This window comes from Homo sapiens, chromosome 5 (genome assembly GCF_000001405.40).
Source record: "Homo sapiens chromosome 5, GRCh38.p14 Primary Assembly".
Classification (NCBI taxonomy): Eukaryota; Metazoa; Chordata; class Mammalia; order Primates; family Hominidae; genus Homo; species Homo sapiens.
The window spans coordinates 39,148,791-39,167,978 of record NC_000005.10 but is presented as its reverse complement, the minus strand read 5'-3'; the positions used below and the strand labels follow the sequence as shown (position 1 = coordinate 39,167,978).

Here is a 19,188-nt window from a genome sequence, read left to right as displayed (position 1 = left end):
ACTGTTGTTAAATAATATAATTGTCATAACTTTATTGTGGAGTAGAATTTTTGCCTTTTTACAGAGTAAGCTGATGCCCTGGAGGATTAAGTGATTGTGCTAATGAAATTAAAAAGTGATTACAAACGTCCAGTGACGGAGAGGGTATGAGGAGACAAGACTTCATTGAGGCACATTGCTGAAGCCTCACTGGAGGACAATTGGCAGATCCTACAGGAAAATAAAATATGCAAATCTTTCATCTCAGCAATTCTACTTTTAGATCTCTGTCCTAGAACACTTCCCCCCACCACTGCCCTGCAGTTACACAGAAAAGCACAAGTAGATGCTTAACATTACATTGTTTTTAGTCAAGGGGGAAGACTGAACAAACCTGGACTATCCCTAACACAGAATACTCTGGAACATTTACAAAGAACAAGATAGGCCCAGAATAGGCAGCACAATATTCAGCATGCAGAGCAATTTAGGTTTTTAATCAGATATTCCTGTGCATACATACAAAGGTCAGTAAACACTTAGAAAAAGTTCTGCAAAGATAAACAATGGTAGTTTCTGGGAAAGAGAGGGCAAGGAGGAGTGAGAGGTCATCTGAAACTCTACTTTATCTGTGTTGTAAAGCTTCTTCCAGAAATGAGTCATGTATTATTTGTGTAATAAAAAATAACTTAAAACAAAAACAAAAACAAGGGAGAGAGAGAGAGAGACAGAGAGAGAGAGAGAACTACCCAAGATCACACCTCTAGTAGAAGCTTGATCCCCGCATCATCTCATTTCAAAACGCTCGCTCTCTCCACTGTGCCCCACTACTTCTTTGTGGCTTTTATATTTTTTTCCTTCTGTGTCTTTTCTTCTTTTAGGTTGGTGCAAAGTTAATTGCAGCTTTTACCAAAAGTAATGGCAAAAACCGCAATTACCTTTGCACCAACTTTATATATCTTTCTCTCCTCTAAAACCTGATTTATCATCTTATGTTTATGTGCTATATTTTGACTCAGGGTCCCTCCTTTCTTTTTTTATTTATATAAATTTAAGGGATAAAGTGCAGGGGTTTTTTTTCATGGATACCGTGTGTAGTAATGAAGTCTGGGCTTTTATTATAACCATCACCAGAATAGTGTACATTGTACCCATTAATTAATTTCCAATCCCTCACTCTTGCCAACCCTCCCACCCTTCCCAGTCTCCAGGGTCTATTATTTCACACTCTATGTCCGCGTCTATATTTAATTTAACTCCCACTTACAAGTGAGAACAGGTGCTTTTTGACTTTCTGTTTCTCAATTATTTCATTTAAGATAATGTCCTCTACCTCCATCCATGTTACTGCAGAAGACATAATTTTATTTTTTTATGGCTGAGTAGTATTCCACGTATACCACATTTTCTTTATCAGTGTCATCCATTTTATAAGTTTCATCCATTGATGGACACTTAGGTTGATTCTATGACTTTGCTATTGTGAATAGTACTGTGATAAACATACAAGTGCAGGTGTCTTTTTGGTAAAATGATATCTTTATTTCTTTTTTTTTTTTTTTATGAGACGGAGTTTCACCTTGTTGCCCAGACTGGAGTACAACGGCACAATCTTGGCTCACCACAACCTCCACCTCCTGGGTTCAAGCTATTCTCCTGCCTCAGCCTCCCGAGTAGCTGAGATTACAGGCACCTGCCACCAGGCCCGGATAATTTTGTATTTTTAGGACAGAAGGGGTTTCACCATGTTGGTCAGGCTGGTCTTGAACTCCTGACCTCAGGTGATCTGCTTGCCTCAGCCTCCCAAAGTGCTGGGATTAGAGGCATGAGCCACTGCTCCTGGCCGATTTCTTTTCTTTTGGTTGAATATCCAGTAGTAGGATTGCTGAATCTTACAGTAATTCCATTTTTAGTTGTTTGAGAAATTTCCATACTGTTTTCTCTAGAAGCTGTACTAATTTATATACATTCCCACCAACGGTGTATAAGCATTCCCTTTACTCGACATCCTTGCCCACATCTCTTATTATTTTATTTTTTAATAATAGCCATCCTGACTGCTGTACGATGATATCTCATTGCGGTTTTAATTTGCAATTCTCTGGTGATTAGTGATGTGGAGCACTTTTTCATATTCTTGTTGGCCACATGTGTGTCTTCTTTTGAAAAATATCTGTTCAATGTCCTTTGCCCACTTTTTAATGAAATTATTTTGGGGGTTGTGAGTTGATTGTAGATTCTGGATATGAGTCCTTTGTTGGATGCATAGCTTGCAAATGTTTTCTCCCAATCTGCAGATTGTCTGCTTATTCAGTTGATTATTTCTTTTACTGACAGAAGCTTTCTAGTTTAGTTAAATCCCATTTGTCTATTTTTGGTTTTGTTGTATTTGCTTTTGAAGTCTTAGCCATGAATTTTTGCCTAGGCTAATGACCATAAGTTTTTCCTAGGTTTTCTTTTAGTATTTTTATAGCTTCAGATCTTACATTTAAATCTTTACTCCATCTTGCATTAATTTCTTGTGTATGGTGAGAGATAGGAGCCCAGTTTCATTCTTATGCATATGGCAGTCAAATTTTCCCAGCACCATTTATTGAATAGAGTATCATTTCCCCAGTGTACATTTTTGTCGACTTTGTCAAAGATCAGTTGGCTGTGGGTATGTGGCTTTCTTTCTGGGCTCTCTATTCCATTCCATTGACCTATGTGTCTATTTTTATACCAGTGCCATGCCGTTTTGGTTGCTATAGCCTTGTCGTATAATTTGAAGACAGGTAATGTGATGGCTCCAGCTTTGTTCTTTTTGTTTAGGATTGCTTTGTCTACTCAGGGCTCTTTTTGCTTCCATATGAATTTTATGATTATTTTTTGTAAGCAATGGCAACAATAGTCATTGCCATAGCAAAAGTAGCAAATATTTAACTTAACTGAGTACCTTCTCTTGTCACATGTCTGTATATGTAGTTGTGCTTCTTACAGGTTTACTGAGTCATAGTCACTTTATCTCCCTTTGAGTCACGCTAAGAACACTTGCTCTGTCCAGGCACTACAGGGAAGCTCTGCCTTCTTTGTTGGCAATTCTAGTTCTTTCTCCAGTGCATTACAATTCTTTGCCTGGTCTAATGGTCTAATTTGTCCCTTTCAAAACTTCATAGTTTTAGCAAGGAAAAGCTTGCTTCCTGGATGAACCACACTGGTCAGGCAATTTCCTTTATTAAAATTTCTTTGCGAGGCTTTCTCTTTCTTTACTTAAAAAGGGTGTATGTCATAAATTAATGTAGCACAGGCCAGTCATGGTGGCTCACACCTGTAATCCCAGCACTTTGGGAGACTGAAGCAGGTAGTTCACGTGAGGTCAGGAGTTCGAGACCAGCCTGGTGAAATCCTGTCTCTACTAAAAATACACAATTAGCCAGGTGTGGTGGTGGTTACCTATAATCCCAGCTACTCAGGAGGCTGAGGCAGAAGAATCGCTTGAACCTGGGAAGTGGATGTTGCAGTCAGCTGAGATCACATCACTGCACTCCAACCTGGGCAACAGGGCAAAACTCCATCTCAACAACAACAACAAAAAAAGAACGTAGCCCAAAAATGTGCTGTGTTGGGTGTGCAGAGTTTTTTGTTTGATTGATTTCTTTTGTTTTAATAGTTGCCAACATTCAAAAAGTAGAGGATTTTATAGAAAAATCTAGTCTTTTTCTTCACATATTTACAGTGGGCTGGAGCCCCACAGTGGCCACCCACTGAGACAGGGCATTAGTTTCCTGTTCACCATGGTCACGTGCTCCCAGCTCAGTGCACACAGGCATGCTCCTGCCTGGCACCCACAGACAGCTGAATTTGGAGCACATGCTTTATTTCTCCTCTGTTTGCCCCTCTCTCTCCCTGAGGATGTGCTATTGCCTCTGCACATCAAGGTTTATTCCTTCTCTGCTTATAGATGTTATATTACTGGCTTATATTGATTTTATCCTAAAAGTGTTCTCAAAGGATTTCTACTGTTGATTTAGCCAAAACATTCACTATTCCCTCAAAAATTGAAAGTGTTCATCTGAGGATGTTTCTAAAACTTGATTTCTAGTGCTTTCTTTGCTCCTATAGAAGTTATTAGTACACTTTTAAAATAACTTTTCATATTTGAAGAATATTCAGTTATTGCCTTATGCCCAAATATGTTGTATCTTAGAGGAGGGAAGAGACACCCTGTAATCTATGAGCATCTGACAAAGAACTTTTCTTATATGCTGACATTTTTCCTTCTTAAAGTCACACTTAACCTTCCAAAAAAAGATCCAAAAGTCAGCAATATCCTGTCTAATTACCGCCTAATTTGAATTTCATATTATTTTATGACTGGAAAATGAATAAACTCATTTATAAAAACAATTTACCTTTCATGATTACATATAATTGAATAACCAACAAAGTTATTGGGGAGGTGAATTTTTAACTGTTGAAAAAATTATTCAGAGACATTGAATGTTAAAGTTAGATCTGAGTTGGAAGAGTTTATGACAGTGATCAAAGCCTTTCTGTACTTATTTTCCTCTCATTGATCATTAGATTTGTTTTGATCTCTACCTCTTCACCTCCATTCTAATTTCAGCTTTGATTATCTATGTAAACATTGATGTTTCAGTATTACTTTTCTTTCCACTTTGTTGGACTGTTCTAAGCTGCCTAACATTTTCTTGGCAGTTTGCATTCAAAGCAAAAGATTTCATACTAATATAATTACAGTGCTTTGTTTTCAACTAAATTGGTTTTCAAAATTTCCCATTCACAATGGTTTACAAATCCTTTGAAGATAAGAGCAGATGGCTTTGAATTAGGGCAAGGAAAAATTCCGTAAAACTAGATTTTCTAAGTCTGTGACCCAGGCGTTTCAAGTCCTTAGACTTGAAGGCTGCCGAGGATTGAAAATTTTTAATGATACTTTTACCTACATAACAATATCTACTAATATGTTTGTATTGTATATGAAACTCTGTATTATATCAAATACCAATCATAAAAGAGAATGTTCATTTTTCCAGCTATTTAATTAAATAGGATGCTGTACTTCTAATATTCTTTATAAAGAAGACATACTCACACAAATAAAATGTCTTATAAACATATGAAAGAATGCTCAGTCTCACTTATAAATATGAAAATCCAATTGATATAGCATTTATGTTTTACCTATCAGGATTATTAAGACCAAAAATGTGTGATAATATACATGCCAGTGAAGTTATGGTAAAACAGGTATTCTCCCACTTGTTTAAAAAAAAAAAAATCACTAAACGGCATTACTTACCAAAACTTTTTTTTTTTGAGATGGCGTCTCTGTTGCCCAGGCTGGAGTGCAGTGGCACCATCTCGGCTCACTGCAACCTCCGCCTCCCTGGTTCAAGCGATTCTCCTGCCTCAGCCTCCCGAGTAGCTGGGACTACAGACAAGCGCCACCACGCCTGGCTAATTTTTGTATTTTTAGTAGAGACGGGGTTTCACCATGTTGGCCAGGATGGTCTGGATCTCTTGACCTCATGATCTGCCCACCTCGGCCTCCCAAAGTGCTGGGATTACAGGTGTGAGCCACAGCACCCAGCCTACCAAAATATTTTAATGCTCAGTTCTTTTGACCTACCGATTTCACTTTCTAGGAATTTATCCTACAGGTACATTTATGCTTGCAGTCAAAGACATACATACAAGAAAAATTTTATAATTGTAATTGTCTAAAATAGCATAAAATAAGCAACAATCCAGAGTTCCTCAGAAGGTTGAATATGGAGTTACCTAGCAATTCTACTCTTGGTATTTACCCAGGAGAAATGAAAACATAGGTCCACACGAAGACATACATTAACGTTCATAGCAGCATTCTGTATAACAGGCAGAAGATAGAAACAACTTAAATGTTCATCAACTGATGAATGGATAAATAAATGTGACATATGATGAAATATGATTCAGCCATAAGATAGTAATATTAATATCTGCTACAATATAATTGAACTGCAAAAACAACTAAGTGAAAGAAACTAGTCACAAACAACCACATATTGTATGATTCTGTTGACATGAAATATCTGGAATAAGCCAATCTGTAAGAAACCAAAAATAGATTATTGGCTGCCTATGGCAGCAAGGTTTGGGGATAGGGATGGGGAGTGACTGCCAGTAAGTACAGGGGTTTATTTTTGAGGTGATGTGTATATTCTAAAATTAGATTATAGTACTGGTTGCACAACTGTAAATATATTAATACCATGGAGTTGTATATTTTAAACCAGTTTATTTATGTGACTTATACTTCAGTGGTTATTTTTATAACCTAAGTGACCAGAAATAATGAGACTGGTCACATAAAATAAGGTAAATCCATGCAATGGAGAACTCCACTGTCATTTAAAAAAAAAAAAACCAGATTGCTCTTTTTGTGCCAATATATAACATCTTTTTAAAATTAAGTTAAGAAAGCAAAGTACAGAATAATGTATATACCATGGTTCCATTTCTGTAAAAAAATACATAGAATATATTTCTTGAAATATACCTAAGAAACTAGTAACAACTGTTGTCTTTGAGGCTTGTAACTAGACTATGGGGGTCTAGAACAGGGGTTTTTCTTTTCAGCATTCCCTCCTATATTTTCTTAAATGTTTTACTGTGCAGATATTTATTTTACAGTTTGCTTTTTTAAATTATTTTTGTTTTCTAAATGGAAAAAGGACAAAAGAAAAAGAAAATCAATCAGTGAAACATTAAATGTGTGATACATGCAGTGTCATAGGGCATACGCAGGTGTTGACAGTGGAGACCCACCTCAGAAGCTCACTGTTTAGCTAGGAAGAAAATGAATAAATAAATGAGAAAGTAATTTATGGTAATTTTAAATAAAATAAAAATGGTGTGAGAAAACACATACCAGTGCTCTGCGTACAAACAGAGAGCTCTCTGAGCTAGGTGATAACACCAGGGAATCACAGGACAGCCACACCACACTTCAAAAGGGCAGGCAGTTTTTTTAAATCTTGCTTTTAACAGAATGGTCAGATGTGTGGCAATTAGCATGTCATTTCGAGCACAGGTGGCAGTTTAGAAAACTTCTAATAAAAGTTACTGAAGTATGATGATCCCAATCTCTCTGCACAGATGGAAATAAACATGTCCTATCGATCTTTAAAGCGCCTATCCCATACAGAACACAACTGTCTTAGTTCCTAGAGTAATTCATAAGTAGCACTGAATACCTACTGTGTGCTTGGCAGATAGACATATTTTGAATTCTTATAGCAGCCCTGCAAGTTAAGAGTCAGTAGTCCCATTTTAATAGGCATAGAATCTAAAACCCAGAGAAGCAAAATAAATTACCCAGTGCCTTACAGCTAATACTGGGTGGGATTAGTAGTCAAGCCCTGGCCTCAATAACTTCAGCACAAACATTCTTTCTGCCAGTCTTTCAAATCCTCATGTTGAAAATTGTTTCTGGTGTGTTTTGGAGTGAAGAATCTGGAAGTAGTATTTGGTTGTTTTGGTGCCTACTGGGGTAGATCTAGGGATTTAAACTTCTTCATTCTTAGACTATTCTAAGATTCTCGAACAAATCTAGGATTAGACATGACTAATTTGAGGAAAAAGTGGTTTCTGTTTGTTTATTGTTTTCTTTGCAATTGAGGGGAGTAGACTGTAGTGTATGAATGGGACAGCCAGATCAATTAGTAGCTAAGAAGAATAGGACCATTTATTAAGAACTACCATACCATGTGTCAGATGCTTCTGCAGAGTGCATGTATGTGACCATTTCGCAGATGAGAAAATGAAGACTTGGAGATGTCAAGCAACTTAACCAAGTCTTCATATTGAGTAATAAAAACTGGAAGGTTGATATAAAAGTGGTTGAATCTGAATTTAAACCTAAGCCTTTCATTCTTTACTTCTCCATGAGGCCATCCAAACACATTTAAGATATAGAAGTAGCAAATGTAGGGGTTTTTTCCAAGAAGTTTGGCCATGAAGAAGAGGAACAAAATCAGCTGGTATCTAGGGTGGGGGAAGAGGTTAAAAAAGGATACTGTTGTTCTTCTATAGAGTTGAAGATATCAGACCATGTTTAAGATGGAAAGTGCATTGAAAAGATGAAACGCACAGTTCAGAGCACATGGTAAGTGCTTAGTGAATGTTTCTTGCTTGATGCAATGAAGGAGTTAATAATAAAGGGAGTGGGCTGTACAAGGAAGCAGGCACTGATGGGAACTAAAATGCCATTGTTAGAATGTGCAAGGAGGAATGCCATCTTTCCAGAGAATCTGGAGCAATAGAAAAACGGGAGAGCAAGATATCAGGAGATTTTCAGTTAGAATGCAGGGCAAGTGGAGATAGTCAGATGGGGCATTCTCCATGTTCTTAGTAAAATAAGAGGTAAGGTCATCTGTAGTACGTGAGGAAGGCAAGGGTAGGGTCTGGGAATGAAGGGGATTACAAACAACCTTTATGGTAAATGTGGTAAGATCTCAGTGAGACTCAGTCCTGAGAAATTCTGTGTTTACTTTAGATGCAAATGACTGTATGTGGCCATGCAACCATAAGAGATTCCATTAAGTGTCCACTCAAATAGTTTTACAAACTACTTAGTGCAGAGTTCACCAATACAGACTCTGGCAGCGCCATGTAGTTGCTAGAGCTTTTCTTCTTGTTTGAATGGGAAATGCTATGTACCTATACTGGCCCAGAGAAAATAAAAGTCTATATGCCGAGTTGCCAGCCCACGGCTAAAATCTGAGACAAATGCTTAATAATTCTCAAACAAATAGATGATGAAATTAAATAATTTCCAAATTTCTTAAGTTAAAGTAACAGAAATGATTTTATATGTGGCACCCCTCAGCCTTGTGTGACCATCTTTTATGTTTATGCAATGCTTCAGACTTTTTAAGATGCTTTCACATGTATTAGCTTATTTCATCCTTAAACCCTTTGAGGTAGTTAGGGCTCGATTACTCCCATTTGACAGATGGAGAAACTAAATCACATGGAGATTAAGTGATTTGCCAAAGACAAATAGCTCTTTGGTGATAGAGCTGGAGATAAAATCAAAGTTTTCTAATGCCTGGTCTAAGATACCCCAAGAAAAACAGAATTAGAAATGCCAAGTCTAGGGTCAGGGTTTTGTGGCAATTGGGAGCAGCAATATGGTATAACGTCTTTGGTGTTGTTAAGGAATCCATGGATTTAAAAATGAAATTGAGAACCAGATCTCCACATGTTCCTTATGCCCCTCGGGACATGAAGACTTTAGGTACCTTCTTAGTCAAAAGTCACAAACATTAGAATCTACAAGGTAGATATCCTAAGTCTTCATAGATCTTTGTTACCAGAATGTTGTAAAAGTATCCAGAACCAGCATTTTTGACCAACAGAAATACATAAAATGCAAAGTTTGTGAAGTAATACAATTTCCATTTCCCATGAGTATACCACCACCCTCGTTGGGTCCTCTCTATTCATTTCCACCTCTTCTGTCCCTGCTCCATCTTCCATTGCCCTCAAATCCACTTTTCTGTTTATAGAGATTTAGATCCTGACAAAATCTCACCATTTTGGGTAGCCTGCATTTCAGTGAACCTGGAACAATTCTTCAAGGCAGGGCCAGATAACCACTGAGCACCCACTGACTCATGGAAAGTCTCTCCTGGTCATTTCCTCATGATAAAATGGCCCCGGTGCTCCGCCCATTCCAGCATGCCTGAGCAGGGGAACGTGACTTGTGCAAGATCTCTTCCAAACTTCCACAATTAAAAAGGATGAAAAGTTTGAGTCAGAGGTTATTAACTTCCTAGATTTTTAAGAATTGTTTTTGTGTTCTAGAAGATATTGCAATTTCACTCCCTGTTATTCGCAATTCTCCCCATTTTTCTGTAACTGCTATAAACTGTTCCCTAATATAAATACAACCAATTTTCCTTAATTTTTTTTGTCATTAGTCACTCAAGCTCCCACTTGACTTATTAGCAAGATGCCTATTATGTCCTTCTTGAAGCCTTGATCTCCTGTTAAAATGCTCAGAGCACAGTTCCTCAGTCTGTCTCAGGACAACAGTGGGTAGTAGGTTGCAAATTCATCTGATTAGCTCATTGCTGCTGAACCATCCTGCACTGTCCAGAAGACCAGCTCTGCCCACTACTACAGGGATCCATACCCCTGCACAATCCTGTCTTTCTTTGAGGAAAACATTCTACATGGTCTTTTCAGTTCCAGTACTTTCAAATCACAGATACCCAGGCATTCCCCCCCTGAGCTTTGGGAGATGAGGTCCATAATTAGATCAGAGTTTTAGGTGTTAGCTCTCAAATTGCACATCCCCAATTTGTAATGCCAACTGAGGTCTAAACTTTTTGCTCTTTCCCCTTATTTTGTATCTTCTAAGTTCTTTTATGCTATTTCAAAATTCCCTGATTTCAGTTCTTGAGAGCTTTTTTTTCCAACCAGCTATTATCAGTCATTCATCTTTAAGAGCCTATTTCCTACTAGCTTGAATGTTTACATCCCTGCTTTCTGGTTTCCAAAATCAAATTCTAAGGCATCTGAATTTAGCATCAAGAACACCCCGATATGTGAGCCTTACAGTCTCTAGAGCCAGGTCTTTCCTGCATTAAACTGAAAACACTCATAAAATCACACTAAGAGGAAAAATACAAATCAAAAAAGCTGAACTTATGCCCAGATTGTAGGACAGTTTGCTAATGTCTATTTTAGCTTAGTAATAATTTTCATTTAATTACCTTGAGAAGCAGTAGAGCATAGCAGAAAGTGCATAGACATCATAAAAAAAAATGACTAGAGTTCAAATTCTGGCCAAGTTTGAAACCCACCGCTACGGCTTACTAATTCTCTGAACTTGGGTAGTTTTCTTAACTATCAAATGGAAGCTAGATAATAACATATACCCCCATAGGGCTGTTATACAGAATAAATAAGATTACATATGTAGAATGCCAAGTATGGTGCTTGCCAAAAATTGCATGATTAATTAATATTATTTAATATCATTATTCCCAGATATTTTTATCTTTATTGTTTCTATTTCTTTGCTCATTTTACTATAGTTCAATATTCATCCCCTTTCTTTCCATCAGAATAAAAACATATTTTTGCTTTTGAGGATGTTAATATTTCTAATTATATTTTAGTACACTTTATAAAGTCCAGATTGAGATTTTAGAGTCAATCATTAGACTCTAATGTCAATCGTTAGACATTAAAGTAAGTCTAACTGGTTTTTTCCTCCAGAAAAACTAAGATGCTTTTCCTTAGAATTATTTTGTATACATGCAAATGTATTCCTAGCAGTATTTGAAAGTGACCACCCGTTTTGCAAAGCAAAGTGTTTCACTGCCACATAGTAGTGTAACATAGGAAGACTTCAGCATATGTTCTCCCAAGCTTGATGAGGAAGAGTATGTTCAATTAGTTTAGTGCCTCATTATGTCTTTCAAACTATCTTTGACAATTGTCCAAAACTAATTTTTCTTAAAAATTTAACCAGTCCCTTTCCATCTCTTGCCCTGCTTCCCTCTGGTTTTGCTGCACTCTCAGGCGAGCCCTACTCTGGCAGTGGCAAGACTGCTGCTGGCAACTCAAGGAGGACCCCCTTCTAGTTCCAAGTCCGGTAGAAGAGCAAGCACACCCCTTCCTGGGTTTCTCAAGTTAGTATAACCACAGAAAGGAGAATAGATGTCGAGTAAGCAGAACCACAGAGGGCCCATTAGAGTCTCATAAGCCTGTGTAAAGGCAGAAAGCCTGGGTTTGGGAAAGTCAGTTTTCAGTGTTTCCAATTCAAAGGACTCACCATTCCCTACACCATTTCTATAACTTCTCACTTGTCGGCCTTAAGTCACTCTCCCAGGGTAATGCCTCCTGCTTGTCAAAATCTTTTCCATGAGAGGATAAGTCACAGATGGCTAATAAATATTTTTCTCTCTATTTGGACGGTTTATTAACATCTACTCACAGAGGCGTATTCTCTTTGGGTACAGCTTTTAAATCATTTATGAATCTACTGAACCATATTATTTATGAATTAAAATAACTGGATGCCATTTTCATCTGTCACATTCACTAGACTTTTTAATGTTTATTCTATGATAAAAGAGGCATGTCAAATTGGTAAGTAATAGCTTATCAGACAAATGGTGCAGAACGTTTGCTAAATGATTTAGGAGCAACAACAACAATCACCATAAAATTAAATCTCTATCTCACACCAAACTCCAAAATAAATTACTAATAATTTTAAAGTGTTAAATTTAAAAAACAAAAAACAACAACAACAAAAAAACTAAGCCACAGCGAAGTAGGAGAAAATGTACTGTTTATAATTATCTGTTCTCAAATTAGGGAAGGCCTTCCTAAAGATAATGTAGTGACAGAAATTATACACGAAAGGATTGATTGAATAGACTGGAGGAAAAGTCTGATATATCCAAAAATTTTTATTTTAGTTAGGACAAAAACGAACCGGATTCAACATTTCTAACATAAATATCTTGAGTTGGAATTTTTTATTCATGAGATTTATAGGGGAACTAATTCTGTCTACCTCTATCCCCTAAAAATAGCTGCAAAAGAAGAACTATTCTTGTGGGAACTGTACCTGGCCTAGAGGGTCTCGAGTCTGCAGTGCAGGGCCTGAGCAGATTTTAAGACTCCAGGAAGAAGGGAAACACTAGGGTGAGGTCAGAGAATGAAGAGAGAGGGCAATATGGTCAGCAATTACCCTAAGTGAAGAGCTTTGGCAAGAGGGAGAAATATCTAGAAGAAATTAGGAATGTGTTTGTGTCACATGCTGTGTAAAACCTTGGCATTACCCTTCTAAGGAAATTTACAGTGAAGTGCCGTATTTTTTTTGAAGTTTGTAAAGAGAGGCTTTCTTCGTTGTGTTATATTTTTAATGTATGGACAGGCAAAAGCAGGATCCAAAGCAGCCTAATTACATTCAGTTGGTCCAGTTAAGAAACAAAAAGATTAATATCCTTAATAAAAATATTTTAGAAACCAAGAAAAGGAAAATACTAATTTTGAAATAGGCAAAGTATTTGAATAAATAATACAATTAAAAGGAGGCCGGGCGAGGTGGCTCACGCTTGTAATCCCAGCACTTTGGGAGGACAAGGCGGGTGGATTACAAGGTCAAGAGTTCAAGACCAGCCTGGTCAACACAGTGAAACCCTGTCTCTACTAAAAATACAAAAATTAGATGGGCACAGCGGCGGGCATGGTGAAATCCCATCTCTACTAAAAATACAAAGAGAAACCCCGTCTCCAATAAAAATATAAAAATTAGCTGGGCATGGTGGCAGGCACCTATAATCCCAGCTACTCAGGAGGCTGAGGCAGGAGAATCACTTGAACCTGGGAGGCAGAGGTTGCAGTGAGCCGAGATCGCACCGCTGCACTCCAGCCTGGGCGACAGAGCTAGACTCCCTCTCACAAGGAAAAAAAAAAAAAAGGAAAATGGTTATAAACATGAAAAAATGACCTCATTTGTACTCAAAGGCAGGTAAAATTAAAACAAAATGTTTGTCAAGATATCCTCTTTTCCTCTCAGAAAATCACCCCAAAATGAGAAAGAAATTAAAATTCCATATTTAGGAAAACAAGGCAACCTGCGTAATTCCAAAGCCCAATATATGAAACCAGAAAGTCGATGGAGGATTGAGTGAGAGGAAGAGGATCAAAACAAAGAGGAAAGATATAGAAACAACTGATTCTAGTCACTATTTAGCAGATAGAACCTAGAAATTTTTTAGGTACCAGCAACGGTATGCTGATGATAAATGTTTAACAACCAGGAAAAACACTGTGTGTATGTGTGTTATGCGTATATACATATATGTAATACATCTTATTGATGTAAAGGATGAATAAGGCCGGGCATAGTGGCTCACACCTGTAATCCCAACATTTGGGGAGGTCACGGCAGGAGGATTGCTTGCGCCCAGGAGTTCAAAACCAGCCTGGGTGACATATCAAGACTTCATCTCTACAAAAAGTATAACATTTTAAAAAAAATTTAGATGGGCATTGTGGTGCACGCGTGTAGTCCCAGCTACTCAGGAGGCTGAGGCAGGAAGATCTCGAAAGCCCAGGAGTCTGAGCTTACAGTGAACCATGATGGAGCCACTGCACCCCAGCCTGGGTAGCAGAGCTAGACCCTGTCTCACAAAAGATATACAGCACACAACGTAGTAATAATAATAAAATAAACATACTCTTTATTGAAAATTCCATATAGCCAGTTGTTAATTTTTGCCAAATTATTTTATCTGTAGCCAACTATGTTTGCAATTAACAATCTTCTTTTTGAAGATTTGTCTTAATTCATGGTATTGTTTGCTTTGCTTCTTAGGTACTAGCAAAGGCCAGACGTCTTACTCAACAACTTCCCTGCCACCACCTCCACCATCCCATCCGGCCAGCCAACCACCATTGCCAGCATCTCACCCATCACAACCACCAGTCCCAAGCCTACCTCCCAGAAACATTAAACCTCCGTTTGACCTAAAGTAAGCAAAAGATTATCTTGCGATTTCTTTCCTAGTCTCTTGCCGTAGATTTTCAAACTGTGCTTGGTCAAATGCTGAGAGTTCCATGGGAAACTTCTGGGTCTACAAAAGTGGGCAGCTGGCAGGGAGAAGAGCTGGCTGAGCTGGCCGAGCTGGCCAAGCTGGCAGTGCAAATACCCCTAGAATTGCTCAGTTCTGAGCCATTCTTATTTATCTGTTTTATGTTGGGTTTCCCCTTAAGCCTTTATAGAAGCAAATTTCCACTGTTTTTTAAAAAGTTCTGAAGCTTTCTTGAGAACCACCAACTCCTCCACTATCAACATCTCCAACTCCTCCACTATCACGATCACCACCACTCCATCACCATATTTTTACTGACTGCTTATGAGGTGCTAGGACTTTTACATATATCATCTCTATAACCTTATTGATTAGATAGTATCATCATTATTTCACAGATGAGGAAATGGAACTTTAGCTCTGCAAAGAAGCCAAGTAACTTCTCCAAGACCACAAAATAGTGTAGAATAAAAATTTCAACCAATGTAGTCTGAATCCAAAGTAAGTGTGCTTTAAACTACTATGCTAAATAGCCTCCTTTAATTAAACAATAATACAGATTTTCTCTCATCCATCAGAATTTTTGGCTGGGCGTTAACATCTAGGAAACTTTTATTCAAGCCTGCTCTTGCTTGAATTTTCTTAGATGATATTTTTCAGAAATGTCAGCACTGTAGGGGTTGCTATGCATGGGCTCTTTATCCAGGATTTAATAGAAAAGTTGGTAAAGGAAAAAGCGAGTGGCAGGTTGGAATAAAATGGAATGTCATTTTAAGAATATTCAGACAATGGCAAGCATAAATCCTTAAGACAAAATGGACTAGATATTCCCTTTCTTCTTGTAGAAAATTGCTTAACATGATTCTCCTTTATCACAAATAAGTAATATCTCAACATATTTAGTACAATTTGATTTTCCTTCACTTAAATTCCCCTACCAGATTGATGTTCCTTACAACAAAATACTTAATATCCATAATCCATGTAATGGAAACTGTTAATAACAATATTGGATTGACAGATTCCCTGACATGCTTGATGACTACAATTTAGGGAAAGGATAGAAAACATATTCGTCATGGAAAAACACCACCATTTTTTAACTTTAATATGCTTTCTTGGGGGTTTAAGGATAGTAAGTAGAAGGTGCTAGAGCAGCTTCCTGGCTATTATCTTACATATGACCTGCGTTGTGCATTTATATTAATGGGCTGCACACCCTTCAAGGCATTTGAATTTATGGATGTCAGTTTAAAGCCTCTAATCCTCCATGATATCCAGCTACTTTTTCAAAAGGGAAAATATGTATAGTGAAAGACTTTCAAGCTCCCATCAGAAAGCTCAAGTAAATTCCACAACGAAGAAATCTCTGGGTTAGAAAATTTTCCCCAAGAAGGGGAAGCTAGAAATACATAGAGGAAATGAAACCAAAATGGGCCTTGATGTTTGGGCTCAAAAGTTTATATTTCACATGAAGGGGCAATGTATGGGGTAGTCTGTAAGAAGAATTGTGAAAGATATAGGTGTTTCTGTGCTTCTCACAGCACCAGTCCTCAAAACACATACATGAGTATTTCCCAAACATTCCCTCTGCCAACCTGCAAACGTTCCTCCCTTTTCTAATCAAAGACCACTCTCAAGTCAAGATCTAATAGATTTCCTTTACAGTCATGCAACAAGTATTTTTTGAGCCACTACATTGTGCTTTTGTAATAGGAGTTCAGGAAATATTAGTAAACAAACAAAGACCCCTGCAAAGCAGGGACCAAGAAACTAAAGAAATGAAAATAATAAACAGGGCTGGGCATGGTGGCTCACACCTGTAATCCCAACACTTCGAAAGACAGAGGTGGGAGGATCGCTTGAGCTCAGGAGTTTGAGACCAGCCTGGGCAATATAGCGAGACCCTGTCTCTACTAAGCATTTGAAAATTAGCTGGGCATGATGGTGCATGCCTGTAGACCCAGATACTCAGGAGGCTGAGGCAGGAGAATTGCTTCAGCCCAGGAAGTCGAGGCTGCAGTGAGCCATAATTGTGCCACTGCACTCCAGCCTGGGTGACAGAGCAAGACCCTATCTCAAAAATAAATAAATAATAAACAGGTAAAGAATATGGTATTAGCACTTGATACTTCCTAACATATTTCCTAAAGGGAAAACGGAGCAGAGGTAAGTGGTGGAGGTGGAGTGTGAGGGTGGCATTGGGGACAGCATGTTGCTGCTTGAGAGAAGTATATATTTATACTTTTGCACCAACCTAATAGAAAATGATACTTGAGCAAAGATTCAAAGGAAGTAAGGGAGTTAGACATGAAGGAAGACTGTTCTAGGCACAGAGCGCAGGTAGAGAGAGCAAGGGAAGGAATGGTAGGGAAAGAGTCAGCTTATGTAGGGCCTTGTAAGCCATGATAGAGATTGCAGCGCTTATCTTGAGTGAAATGGGAACCACTCAAAGAGCTACATCAGAGCAGTGACATTTTCTGACTTGTGCTTTATAAAAATCACCTTAATGGCTATGCTGAGAAGAGACAGTAGGTAGACAATTGTCAAAGCAGGGAAATCTGTTAGATATCACAGAAATGCAGGCAAGGTATGCAGTAGCACTGACCATGATGGGAACAGTGGAGGTGGTGAGAAGTGTCCATATGTTGGGTGTATTTTGAAGAGAGAGACAAAAGAATTTGGATTTAGTGTATGAAGGAAAATGGGAATCTAGAATGGGTGGTTCCAGTGTTTTTGGCCCAAGCAACTGTAAGTATCATGCTTCCATCAGCCCAAGCACCACCATGAGGAGGCTGAAGATGTCAAAGGATGAAGATGTTAAAATCACAACAGATCTAAAGATCTCAAGAGTTTCTATTTGCACGTCTAAAATTGGGCAACACTTTGTTCCATAAAGTAAAGTAAGTGTTCCAAAGATTGAAGCAGAGGAGGTTGGCTTTATAAACAAAAAGAACTAAAGAAAGCAGAAACAAAAACCAAAAAGTGGATTGGTCATTTCAAAGTTACTTTCCTTGTAAGGCAGGTACAGGGAGATAGAACAATAGAAAGATAATGGGTTGGTTAACATCAGGTACTTCAGGTCAGTCTTTCCTGTAAAGATTAAAACAGAGCTTCATTATTATGACAGAAAGCGAAAACTGGCCTCTTCAGGCAGCTAGGCCATTCTCTCTCTCTCCTGATTTCCCAAAAGGCCAGATAACAACTCAGTTTCAGTTTGGTGAGCGTGGGTGACTCCATTTTGATTTTTAATCTGGTCTTCTGGGGCCCAGTGCGGGAATTTAGTCGAAAAAAAATGGCCTCCTAGATTTTGTTTAACAAAGGTGAACAAGTTTTGTTTAACAAAGGTGAGGAAGATCTGGAGGTCATGGCTATGTTAAGTTTGAGGTACCTTTTAAGCATCCAATTGGGTAAGAAGTTCTGGGTTTAAAATAGGAGAGAAATAGGAACACATTTCACACTGAAAGTCATAAGGCTGGTTAAGATGACCAAGGAAGGGAGTGTAAACAGAGAAGAAAGGAACTGAGCTCTGGGGCACTGTAACTCTCTGAGGCCTGGGAGGAGGAGAAGGGGCAAAGGAGAATAACAGGAACAATCAATAACGCCGGGGTCTTGGAAGCCCAGGAAAGGAAGCATCCAAGGAGGAGTCAGTGAGAAACTGTGTCAGGTGCTGGTGGAGGCCAAAAAGTGAGGACTGTGGAGGTCAGTGCAGGGGAAGTTGTCAGGAGTGGTGGCGATACAAGGCTGATTGAAATGGCTTTAAAAGAGTATGAAAGGAGAGGAATTGGACAGAGCAAATATAAACAACTCCTTTACAAAGAAAGGGCAACCAAAGAAATGGGACAGTAACTGATGGGAGAAATGAGATCAAGAGCCTTTTTAAAGATGGAAATAACAGCACTTTTGTAGGCTGATGGAAAGATCCAGTCAAGAGGGAAAAATGGTAAGGGTGGAGAGAGGGGAGAATTGCAGGAGCCAAGCATTAGAGCAGCAGGGAGCAATGGCTTCCCTAAGGTTTACAGTTCTCCCTAGCATGTGGAGTGGAATCTCTAATTGGGATCAAGGAAGGAATTTTAGAAGACAGGGTGGACTTTATCATCTGCAGCCTGTTCTGCCTACTCCTAAAGCTGTTCCCAGAAGTAACTTGCAATCATATCATTCAGGTCAGGATGTTTTAAGAGTGTAAAAGATTCCAGACAGGTGAGAATCAGAAATCCTAAATAACTGAAAATAAAGTAGTTGAGGCCAAAGTTATATTGTATTTTAAATTGTATTGTTTCCCCACCTAGTGGTCAGAAATCAGTTTGTTACATTTTCTGCTATTTTTACTCAGGCATTTGAAGAGAAAATGAAATGGGTCAAAAGAGCATGTTTATCATTTTTAATGTTCAAATCAACACCTTTTAGTGTAATACATTTCTTGGTACCTTTTTAAATTATAATTTTAACATCATAATTTTTCATATTGAAACAGAATCAATGGTTGTGTTTTGGCATATCAAACAAATTACATGGTTATTAATAGTAATGAGACAGGAAAAGTGATGTAATAAAAAATAGTAAATAATGGGAAGTGACTAAGGTTAGAAAAGGGAAG

General features: G+C 38.1%; 1 protein-coding gene across 16 annotated transcripts in view, besides 1 other annotated feature; it reads left to right on the top strand.

The window, feature by feature from the left end:
* FYB1 (FYN binding protein 1) overlaps window positions 1-19,188 on the top strand; it is a 169,277-nt gene that overhangs the window by 106,550 nt on the left and 43,539 nt on the right. For all 16 annotated transcript variants that reach the window (XM_006714464.4, XM_047417073.1, XM_047417072.1 and 13 more), the window contains one exon: window positions 14,375-14,531. In XM_006714464.4, the coding sequence (XP_006714527.1) occupies window positions 14,375-14,531 (157 nt within the window). The remainder of the gene's footprint in view (window positions 1-14,374; window positions 14,532-19,188) is intronic.
* Window positions 9,538-9,832: an enhancer, noted in NCBI's record as "tiled region #14991; HepG2 Activating non-DNase unmatched - State 10:DNaseD, and K562 Activating DNase unmatched - State 5:Enh". NCBI's record gives its function as "activates a minimal TATA promoter and a strong SV40 promoter by Sharpr-MPRA in HepG2 and K562 cells {active_cell/tissue: HepG2 | K562}" and the evidence as "EXISTENCE:reporter gene assay evidence [ECO:0000049][PMID:27701403]".